At 38.5% G+C, this 12,404-nt stretch overlaps 1 protein-coding gene across 28 annotated transcripts in view, besides 1 other annotated feature; it reads right to left on the bottom strand.

Moving 5' to 3' along the window:
- DOCK3 (dedicator of cytokinesis 3) overlaps nucleotides 1–12,404 on the bottom strand; it is a 709,272-nt gene that overhangs the window by 79,883 nt on the left and 616,985 nt on the right. The gene's annotated exons all lie outside the window — the stretch shown is intronic.
- Nucleotides 8,378–8,437: an enhancer, noted in NCBI's record as "active region_19916". NCBI's record gives its function as "activates an Ori minimal core promoter by ATAC-STARR-seq in GM12878 lymphoblastoid cells {active_cell/tissue: GM12878}" and the evidence as "EXISTENCE:reporter gene assay evidence [ECO:0000049][PMID:35858748]".

The raw sequence follows: 12,404 nt of genomic DNA, 5'->3' as shown, positions 1-12,404 counted from the left end.
TTAGCTCACTGGGAGAGGGGCAGCAGCCATCACTGTAGCTCCAGTCTTCAGTTTTTCCCCTGCTGGTGCTGGGGAAACTGGACGGTTTGGATCCAAACTGCCACACTGGCTGTGGCAGACTGTGGCCAGGCTGCCACTTTAGGTCGGACCCTGACCCATTCTTCTTCAGTGGGTGGGGCCTCCCTGCAGGAATTTTAGCAACTTCAGCCAGGGGTTTAGGGACAGAACTTTGATCTCCCTGGGACTGAGGGGCTGCGGAGACCTGCGGCTATGGTGTCCGCAGATCAGCAGACTTAGTCTTTCCCCCTGCTAGCTCTGAGGAATCCAGGCAGCCCAGACAAGTGGGATTCCCCCCAGCACAGCACACCCCCTCTGCCAAGGGGCAGCCAGAGTGCTTCATTAAGTGGGTCCCAGATTCCGTGCCCCCTGACTGGGTCAGACCCTCCAATAAGGGTTGCCAGACACCTTATATAGGAGCATTCCTGCTGGCATCAGGTCAGTGCCTCTCAGGGACAGAGATCTCAGAGGAAGAAGCAGGCAGCTATCTTTGCTGTTCTGTAGCCTCCTCAGGTGACACCTCTGGGTGTGGGAGGGACCCAGGTGAATAGGGTCTGGAGTGAACCCTCGGCAAACCAGAGCAGCCCTACAAAAAGGGGCTTAATTGTTGAAAGAAAAACAAACAGAAAGCAACAACAACAGCATCAACAAAAAAGTCCCCACAAAAACCCTATCCAAAGGTCAGCAGCCTCAAAGATTGACGCTAGACAAACTCATGAAGATGAGAAAGAATCAGTGAAAAAACACTGAAAACTCAAAAAGGCAGAATGTCTCTTCTCCTCCAAATGATTGCAATACCTCTCCAGCAAGGGCAAAGAACTGGGCAGAGGCTGAGATGAATGAATTGACAGAAGTAGGCTTCAGAAGGTGCGTAATAACAAACTTCTCTGAGCTAAAGGAGCATGTTCTAACTCAATGCAAAGAAGCTAAGAACCATGATAAAACATTACAGGAGCTGTTAACCAGAAGAGCCAGTTTAGAGAGGAACATAAATTACCTCACAGAGCTGAAAATACAACATGAGAACTTCACAGTGTAAACACAAGTATCAATAACCGAACAGACCAAGCAGAGAAAATAATTTCAGAGCTTGAAGACTATCTTGCTGAAATAAGGCAAGACAAGATTAGAGAAAAAAAAAAATGAAAAGGAACAAACAAAAGCTATGAGAATATGTAAAAAGACTGAACCTACGACTGATGGGGGTACCTGAATGAGACAGGGAGAACAGAACCAAGATGAAAAACATACTTCAGGATATCACCCAGGAGAACTTCCCCAACCTAATAAGAGAGGCCAACATTCAAATTCAGGAAATCCAGAGAACCCCAGTAAGATACTCCACAAGAAGATCAACCCCAAGACACATAATCATCAGATTCTCCAAGGTTGAAATGAAGGAAAAAATGTTAAGGGCAGCCAGACAGAAAGGCCAGGTCACCTACAAAGGGAAGCCCATCAGACTAACAGCAGACCTTTCAGCAGAAACCCTATAAGCCAGAAGAGATTGGGGGCCAATATTCAACATTCTTAAAGAAAAGAATTTCCAGCCCAGAGTTTCATATCTGGCCAAACGAAGCTTCATAAGTGAAGGAGAAATAAAATCCTTTTCAGACAACCAAATGAGGAGGGAATTTGTCACCACCAGGCCTGCCTTGCAAGAACTCCTGAAGGAAGCACCAAATATGGAAAGGAAAACATTACTAGTCACTGCAAAAAAAAAAGTACAAAGGCCAATGACACTATGAAGCAACTACATCAACAAGTCTGCAAAATAATCAGCTAGCATCATAACAGAATCAAATTCACACATAACAATATTAACCATAAATGTAAATAGGCTAAATGCCCTAATTAAAAGACACAGAATGGCAAACTGTATAAAGAGTCAAGACCCATTGGTGTGCTGTATTCGAGAGACCCATCTCATGTGCAAAGATACACGTAGGCTCAAAATAAAGGGATGGAGAAAAATTTACCGAGCAAATGGAAAGCAGAAAAAAGCAGGGGTTGCAATCCTAGTTTCTGACAAAACAGACTTTAAACCAACAAAGACAAAAAAAGATAAAGAAGGGCATTACACAGTGGTAAAGGGATCAATGCAACAAGAAGGGCTATCCTAAATATATATGCATCCAATACAGAAGCACCCAGATTGATAAAACAAGTTGTTAAAGACCTATAGAGAGACTTAGACTCCCACACACAATAATAGTGGGAGACTTTAACACTCCACTGTCAATATTAGACAGATCACTGAGACAGAAAATTAATAAGGATATTCACAGGATTTGAACTCTGCTCTGGATCACATGGACCTGGTATCTACAGAACTCTCCACCCAAAAACAACAGAATATACATTCTTCTTGGCACCACATGGCACTTACTCTAAAATTGATAACATAATTGGAAGTAAAACACTCCTCAGTGAATGCAAAAGAAATGAAATAATAACAAACAGGATCTCAGAACACAGTGCTATCAATTAGAACTCAAGATTAAGAAACTCACTAAAAACCACACAACTACACTGAAATTGAACAACCTGCTCCTGAGTGACTCCTGGGTAAATAATGAAAGTAAGGCAGAAATCAAGAAGTTATTTAAAACCAAAATCAAGAAGTTATTTGAAACCAATGGGAACAAAGAAATAATGTACCAGAATCTCTGGGATGCAGCTAAAAGAGTGTTAAGAGGGAAATTTATAGCACTAAATGCCCACATCAAAAAGCTAGAAAGATCTCAAATAAATCTTTCTAATATCACAACTAAAAGAACTAGAGAACCAAGAGCAAACAAACCCAAAAGCTAGCAGAAGACAGGAAATATCCAAGATGAGAGCAGAACTAAAGGAGATAGAGACATGAAAAAGCCTTCAAAAAAAAAAATCAATGAATCCAGGATCTGGCTTTTTGAAAAAATTAATAACATAAATGGACTGCTAGCTAGATTAATAAAGAAGAAAAGAGAGAAGAATCAAATAGACACAATAAAAATGACAAAGGGGATATCACCACTGATCCTGCAGAAATACAAACAACCATCAGAAAATACTATTAACACCTTTAGGCATGTAAATTAGAAAATCTAGAAGAAATGGATAAATTCCTGGACACGTACAGCCTCCCAAGACTAAACCAGGAAGAAGTTGAATCCCTGAACAGAACAATAAAAAGCTCTGAAACTGAGGCAGTAATAAACAGCCTACTAACCAAAAAAGCCCAGGACCAGATGGATTCACAGCTGAATTCTACCAGAGGTATAAAGAGGAGCTGGTACCATTTCTTCTGAAATTACTCCAAGCAACTGAAAAGGATGGACTTCTCCCTAACTCATTTTATGAGGCCAGCATCATCCTGATACTAAAACCTGGTAGAGATACAATAAGAAAAAGAAAACTTCAGGCCAATATCCCTGATGAACATTGGTGCAAAAGTCCTCAATAAAATACTGGCAAACCAAATCCACCAGCACATCAAATAGCTTATCTACCATGATCAGGTTGGCTTCATCCCTGGGATGCAAGGCTGGTTCAACATACACAAATCAATAAAGGTAATTCAGCACATAAACAGAGCAAAAGATAAAAACAACATGATTATCTCAATAGATGTAGAAAAGACCTTTGATAAAATTCAACATCCTTTCATGATAAAAAACTCTCAATAAACTAGGTATTGATGGAACACATTGCAAAATAATAAGTGGCATTTACGACAAACCCACAGCCAATATCATACTGAATGGGCAAAAGCTGGAAGCATTCCCCTTGAAAACCGGCACAAGACAAGGATGCCTTCTCTCACCACTCCTATTCAACATAGTACTGGAAGTTCTGGCCAGGGCAATCAGGCAAGAGAAACAAATAAAGGGTATTCAAATAGGAAGTGAAGTCAAACTGTCTCTGTTTGCAGATGACATGATTCTATATCTAGAAAACCCCATTGTCTCAGTCTAAAAGCTCATTAAGCTGATAAGCAACTTCAGCAAAGTCTCAGGATACAAAATCAATGCGCAAAAATCACAAGCATTCATATACACCCAAGGAGAGAGCCAAATCATGAATGAACTCCCATTCACAACTGCTACAAAGAGAATAAAATATCTAGGCATACAGCTAACAAGGGAAGTAAGGACTTCTTCAAGAAGAACTACAAACCACTGCTCAAGGAAATCAGAGAGGACACAAACAAATGGAAAAACATCCCATGCTCATGGATAGGAAGAATCAATATTGTGAAAATGGCCATACTGCCCAAAGTAATTTATAGATTCAATGCTATTCCCATTAAACTACCATTGACATTCTTCACAGAATTAGAAAAAACTACTTTAAAAGTCATATGGAACCAAAAAAGAGCCCGTATAGCCAAGATAATCCTAAGCAAAAAGAACAAAACTGTATGCATCACACTACCTGACTTCAAACAATACTACAAGGCTACAGTAACCAAAACAACATGGTAGTGGTACCAAAACAAACACATAGACCAATGAAACAGAATAGCGATCTCAGAAATAAGACTGCATATCTACAACCATCTGATCTTCAACAAACTTGACAAAAGCAACAGGGAAAGGATTCCCTATTTAATAAATGGTGCTGGGTAAACTGGCTAGCCATATGCAGAAAATTGAAGCTGGACACCTTCCTTACACTTTATATAAAAATTAATTGAAGATGGATCAAAGACTTAAATGTCAAACCCAAAACTACAAAAACCCTAGAAGAAAATCTAGGCAATATCATTCAGGACATAGGCACCAGCAAAGATTTTATGATAAAAACATCAAAAGCAATTTCATCAAAAGCAGAAATTGACAAATGGGATCTAATTAAACTAAAGAGCTTCTGCACAGCAAAAGAAACTAACATCAGAGTAAACAGATAATCTATAGAATGGGAGAAAATTTCTGCAATCTATCCATCTGACAAAGGTCTAATATCCAGAATCTACAAATAACTTAAACAAACTTACAAGAAAAAAAAAACCCATTAAAAAGTGGGCAAAGGAGATGAACAGACACTTCTCAAAAGAAGACACTTACGCGGCCCATAAACACGTGAAAAAAAGCTGAACATCACTGATCATTAGAGAAATGCAAATGAAAACCACAATGATACAGCATCTCACACCAGTCAGAATGACAATTATTAAAAATGTCAAGAAACAACAGATGCTGGTGAGGCTGTGGAGAAATGGGAATGCTTTTACACGGTTGGTGGGAATGTAAATTAGTTCAACCATTGTGGAAGACAGTGTGGTGATTCCTCAAAGACCTAGAAGCAAAAATACCATTTGGCCCAGCAATCCTATTACTGGGTATATACCCAAAGGATTATAAATCATTCTATTACATATTACAAAGATACATGCACTTGTATGTTCATTGCAGCACTGTTCACAATAGCAAAGACATGGAATCAACATAAATGCCTATCAACAATACACTGGATAAAGAAAATGGGTTACATATACACCATGGAATACTATGCAGCCATAAAAAGGAATGAAATCATGTCCTTTGCAGGGACATGGATGGAGCTGGAAGCCATTATCCTCAGCAAACTAACACAGGAACAGAAAACCAAATACTGTATGTTCTCACTTATAAGTGGGTGCTGAACAATGAGATCACATGGACACAGGGAGGAAAACAACATAGACTGGGGCGTTGGGGATTGAGGTGGGGGGAGGGAGAGCATTACGAAAAATAGCTAATGCGTGCTGGGCTTAATACCTATGTAATGGGTTGATAGGTGCAGGAAACCACCATGGCACACATTTACCTATGTAACAAACATGCACATCCTGCACATATACCCTAGAACTTAAAATCAAAATTAAAATTTAAAAAATTGGTTCTCTGAAAAGATCAACAAGATGGACAAACTTTTAGCTGCATTGACCAAGAAAGAAAAAGAGAACTCAAATTAGTCAAATTAGGAACAAAAGAAGTGACATCATTACCAATGTTATAAAATCAGAAAGGATTACATGGTTCTAGTATGAACAAATGCATGCCAACAAATTATATAACCTAGATGAAACTGACAAATTCTTAGGAAGTTACAAGCTACCAAAGTTCATTCATGAAGAAATAGAAAATCTGAGTATACCTATTCACAAGTGAAAGATCCAATAATTAAAAAGGTTTTCACAAAGAAAATTCTAGGACAAGATGGTTTCACTAATAAAATCTATGAAATGTTTAAAGAATTAATACCAATATTTGTCTTCTTCATTATATCTACTCTTTTTTTGTTTTTGAGATGGGGTCTCACTCTGTTGCCCAGGCTGGACTGCAGTGGCACAATCATAGTTCACTGTAGCATCGACTCCTGAACTCAAGGGATCCTCCTGCCTCAGTCTCTTGAATAAAGAAAGTCTCAACAAATTTAGCTGGGACTAAACTGGGACTACAGGCATGCACCACTACACTCAACTAATTAAAAAAAAATTATTATTATTATTATTATTTTTGTAAAGACAGGGTCTTGCTCTATTGCCCAGGCTTGTCTCCAACTCCTGACTTAATGCCTCCTGACTTGACCTCCCAAAGTGCTAGGATTACAGGTATGAGCTACCATGCCTGGCCTGTTATGTCTACTCTCAGTGTGAAGTGCTATCTTGTAGATTTAATTTACATTTCCTTAATGAGTAATAATGTGGAGTATCTTTTCTTGTGCATATTGGCTATGTGTCTGTCTTCTCTGGGGAAATGTCTATTCAAATCTTTTGCCCATTTTTAAATTGAGTTTTCTATCTTTGAGTAGTAGGTGTCTTTTTGAATATATTCTAGACCACAAGGTGTTTACTAGATGTATGATTTGCAAATATTCTCTCCCATTCTGTGGGTTATCTTGATGGTAGCCTTTGAAGCACAAAAATTTTTAACTTTGTGTGATGAAGTCTAACTTACCTATTTTTTTCTTTTGTTGTTTGCACTTTGGTGTTATATCTACGAAACTACTGCTTAACACAACAAGATATACTACATTTTCTTCCAAGAGTTTCATAGTTTTAGCTTTTACATTTAGGTCTAAAATCCATTCCAAGTTAATTTTGTAAATACTATAAGGTAGAGATGCGATATCATTCTTTTACATGTAGATTTTTTTTTTTTTTTTTTTTTTTGAGACAGAGTCTCACTCTATCCCCCAGGCTGGAGTGCAGTGGCACGATCTCAGCTCACTGCAACCTCTGCCTCCTGGATTCAAGCGATTCTCATGCCTCAGCCTCCTGAGTAGCTGGGATTACAAGTGCCCGCCACCATGCCTGGCTAATTTTTAAATTTTTAGTAAAGACGGGTTTCCCCATGTTGGCCAGGGTGGTCTCGAACTCCTGACCTCAGGTGATCTGCCTGCCTCAGACGCCCAAAGTGCTGGGATTACAGGTGTTGAGCCACTGCACCTGGCCCTACATGTGGATATTAAGTTGTCCCAGAACCATTTGTTGAAAAGACACTTCTTTCCTTACTGAATTATCTTGGCAGTATTATAAAAAATCAATTTACTTTGGGAGGCCAAGGCGGGCGGATCACAAGGTCAGGAGATCGAGACCATCCTGGCTAACACAGTGAAACCCCATCTCTACTAAAAATACAAAAAAATAGCCGGGCATGGTGGCGGGCACCTGTAGTCCCAGCTACTCAAGAGGCTGAGGCAGGAGAATGGGGTGAACCCAGGAGGCAGAGCTTGCAGTGAGCCGAGATCGCGCCACTGCACTCCAGCCCAGGCAACAGAGCAAGACTCCATCTCAAAAAAAAAAAAAAACCAATTTAAGTAAGAGTTTATTTTTGGACTCTCCAGTTTTGTTGATCTATGTATCTATCTTTATGTTAGTACAAATCTTGATTACTGTTACTTTGTAGTAAGTTTTGAAAATGGGAACTGTGAATCTTTCAATTTTGTTCTTTTTCCAGGTTGTTTTGGCTGAGTCCCCAATATTTCTACATGAATTGAAGGCTCAGACTGTCAATCTCTGCAAAAATGCAGCTGGAAGTTCTTTTTTATTCATTTTGATGATACTGTAACTGGGATTTTTTCTTAATTTCAGTTTTTGAATCATTTATTGCTGGTGTATAGAACTATAGATTTTTGGATATTGATCTTATGTCCTGAAATCTTGAACTTGTTTGTAACTTTTGATAATTTTCCTGTGGATGCCTTAGAATTTTCTGTATATAAAATCAAGTTAGCTTGAGCAACATAGTGAGACTCCATCTCTTAAAAAAAATTTAAAAAGTTAGCCAGGCATAGTTGTCAGTGCCTGTAGTTCCAGCTACTTGGGAGGCTGAGGCAGAAGGATCACTTGAGCCCAGGAGTTTGAAGCTGCAGTGAGCTATGATCGTGCCAGTGTACTCCAGCCTGGAGGACAGAATACCTCACCTCCTAAAAAAAGAATCAGGTCATCTGTGAATAGAGATAGTTTCACTTCTTCCTTTCTAATCTGAAGGGTTACCCCCCACCCCCCAACGCCTTATTGCCCCAGCTAGACTCTCCAGTATAATAAATAAAAATGGCTAGAGCACACATCTTGCCCTTGTTCCTGATCTTAGGAGAAAGAAATTAATCTTTTGTTATGAAGTATGATGTTAGGTGTGTGTTTTTCATAGATGCCCTTTATAAGGTTGAAGAAGTTTGCTTCTATTTTTAGTTTGCTCAGTGATTTTATTACAAAACAAATACCAAATTGTTGGCGGATTTTTTTTAATGCTTTTTCTACATTTGCAATGGTTTGGATATGTCCCCTCAAAACCTCATGTTGAAATCTCATCCCCAATGTTGGAGGTAGAACATAATGGGAGGTGTTTGGGCCATAGGGGTGGATCCATGAAGAATAGATAAATGCCTTCCCTTGGGGAAAAGTGAGCTCTCGCTCTATTAGTTCCCATGACAGCTGGTTGTTAAACAGAGCCTGGCACCTTCCCCCTCTTTCTTGATTTCTCTCTCACCATGATATCTCTGCACACACTGGCTCTCCTTCACCTTCTGCCATGAGTGGAAGCAGCCTGAGGCCTTCGCCAGAGACCCAATCTTAAACTTTTTCAGACATTAGAATTGTAAGCCAAATAAACCCTTTTTCTTTATAAACTAATCAGCCTCAGGTATTCCTTTATAGAAACACAAAATGGACTAAGACATTAACTGAGATGATCATGTGGTTTTGTCCTTTATACCATTTAAGGGTGTATTACACCGATTTAAAAAATTTTTATTTTAATTGACAAATAATAATTGTATATAATTATTAAACACAATCTGATGTGTCAATACATGTATACATTGTGGAATGAACAAATTGGGCTAATTAGCATATTCATCACCTCAGATATTTATCATTTTTTTGTGGTGAGAACACTGAAAATACTGTTTTAGCTATTTTGAAATATACACTCCATTATTAACTATTGTCACCATGCTGTGCAACAGAACACCTGAACTGAAACTTTGCACCCACTGACCAATGTCTCCCCTTTCTCTATCTACTGCCCCCACCCCCAGCCTCTGGTAACCATCATTCTACTATCTACTTTTCGAGTTCAATTTTTTTTTTTTTTTTTTTTTTTTTTTTTGAGATAGAGTCTCTCTCTGTCGCCCAGGCTGGAGTGCAGTGGCGCGATCTTGGCTCACTGCAAGCTCCGCCTCCCGGGTTCACGCCATCTTCCTGCCTCAGCCTCCCCAGTAGCTGGGACTACAGGTACCTGCCACCACGCCTGGCTATTTTTTTGTATTTTTAGTAGATACTGGGTTTCACCATGTTAGCCAGGATGGTCTCGATCTCCTGACCTCGTGATCCGCCTGCCTTGGCCTCCCAAAGTGCTGGAATTACAGGCTTGAGCTACTGCGCCCAGCCTCGAGTTCAATTTTTTTTAGATTCTACACGTAAGTGAGATCATATGATATTTGTCTGTTCCTGGTTTACTTCACTTAACATAATGTCCTCCAGGTTCATCCATGTTGCTGGAAATGACAAAATTTCCTACTTCTTTTAAGGCTGAATAGTATTGCCTGTGTATATATACCACATGTTAAAAATCTATTCATCTGCTGATAGACACTTAGGTTTTTTCCATGTCTCTGCTATTGTGAATAACACTGCAATGAACATGGGAGTGTACATATCTCTTTGACATACTGAGTTTAATTCCTCTGGGTATATACCCAGAAGTGGAATTGTTGGATTATATGGTAATTCTATTTTTAGTTTGAGAAAACTTCATACTGTTTTCCAAAATGGCTGTATTTACAATATCACTAACAGTGTACAAGAGTTCCCTTTTCTCCATATCCTCACCAACAGTTATCTTTCATCTTTTTGATTATAGCTTATCTAACAAATGTGACGTGATATCTCACTGTGGTTTTACTTGGTGTTTTCTGATGACTAGAAATATTGAGCATTTTTTCATATATCTGATGTCTTCTTTTAAGAAATGTCTACTCAAGTCCTTTGCCAATTTTAAAAATAGGGTTATTTGTAGTCTTGTTATTGAGTAGCTTGAGGTTCCTTGTATATTTTGGATATTAGTCCCTTATCTGACATGTAATTTGCAAATATTTTCTCCCAATCTGTAGGTGTTCTCTTCATTCTATTGTTTTCTTCACTGTGAAGAAGCTTTTTAGTTTGATGCAATCCCATTTTCTATTTTTATTTTCATTGCCAGTGCTTTAGGGATCATATCCAAGAAATCCCTACCTAGATCAACATCATAGGTTTTCCCCTATGTTTTCTTCTAGTAGCTTTATCATTTCAGGTCTTCAATCCATTTTCAGTTGATTCTTCTATAGGGGGGTGAGATAAAGGTCTACTTTCATTCTTCTGTATATGGTTTATCCAATTTTCCTAACATCACTTATTGATGAGACTCTCCTTTTTTCATTGTGTGTTCTTGGCATCTTTGTCAAAAATCAATTAATGGTAGATGTGTGGGTTTATTTCTGGGCTCACTATCCTCTTCTATTGGTCAATGTGTCTGTTTTTATGCCAATACCATGGTGTTTTGATCACTACAGTTTTGTAATATGCTTTGAAATATGGTAGAGTGATGCCTCCAGCTTTGTTCTTTTTGGTCAAGGTTGCTTTGGCTATTTGGGGTCTTTTTTTATTCCATACACATTTTAGGATTGTTTTTTTCTATTTCTGTGAGGAATGACATTGGAATTTTGATGGAGATTGCATTGAATCTGTAGATTGCTTTAGGGATTATAAACATCTTAACAATATTAATCCTTCCAATCCATAAACATGAGATATCTGTCCATTTATTTGCATAATCTTTAATTTCCTTAATCAATATTTTATAGTTGTCAGTATACATGCAGATCTTTAACTTCCTTGGTTAAATGTACCCCTGAAACCTGGCCAACATGGTAAAACCCCATCTCTACCAAAAAATACAAAAAAATTAGCTGGGTGTGGTGGCATGCACCTGTAAACCCAGCTACTCAGGAGGCTGAGGTGGGAGAATCTCTAGAACCTGGGAGGTGGAGGTTGCACTGAGCCAAGATTGTGCTACTGCACTCCAGTCTGGGAGACAGAGGGAGGCCCTGTCTCAAGAAAAAAAATTTTTTAACCCCTAAGTATTTTGTTTTTTAAAAATACTATTGTAAACAGGATGGTTTTTGTAACTTCTTTATTTTTGTAGAGAGGAGGTCTCACTATGTTGCCCAGGCTGGTCTCAAACTCCTGGGCTCAAGCGATCCTCCCATCTCAGCCTCCCAAAGTGCTGGTATTACAAGTGTGAGCCACCACACCTGGCTTGTTTTCATAATTTCTTTTTTAGACAGTTTGTTGTTATTGTATAGAAACACAACTAATTAGGTGTTGTCTCCTGCAATTTTACTGAATCTGTTTTTCAGTTCTAACAGGTTTTTTTTGTAGAGTCTTTGAAATTTTCTATATATATGACCATGTCATTGGCAAACAGAGACAATTCTACTCCATCATTTCCTATTTGGATGCCTTTTCTTTCTCTTGCCTAACTGCTCTGGCTAGGACAGAAGTATTTATTACAGAAGTACTTAGTATTGTGTTGAACAGAAGTAGTCAGAGTGGGCATCCCTGTCTTGTTCCTGATCTTAAAAAAAATGCTTTCAGTTTTTCACTGTTGAGTGTGAAGTTAACTATGGGCTTATCATATATGATATTTATTGTTTTGAAGAACATTCTTTCTATATGTAATTTGTTGGGAATTTTAAAATCAAGAAATGAGAATTTTTTATATGCTTTGCCTGCATTTATTGAGATGATCATGTTTTTCTCCTTCATTCTGTTAATATGGTGAATCACATTTATTGATCTGAGTATGTTGAACCAACCTTGTATTCCAGCGATAAAT

This window comes from Homo sapiens, chromosome 3 (assembly GCF_000001405.40).
Source record: "Homo sapiens chromosome 3, GRCh38.p14 Primary Assembly".
In the NCBI taxonomy this organism is placed as follows: domain Eukaryota; kingdom Metazoa; phylum Chordata; class Mammalia; order Primates; family Hominidae; genus Homo; species Homo sapiens.
Note: the sequence above shows the minus strand (reverse complement) of the source record. Positions and strands in the feature narration are given on the sequence as shown.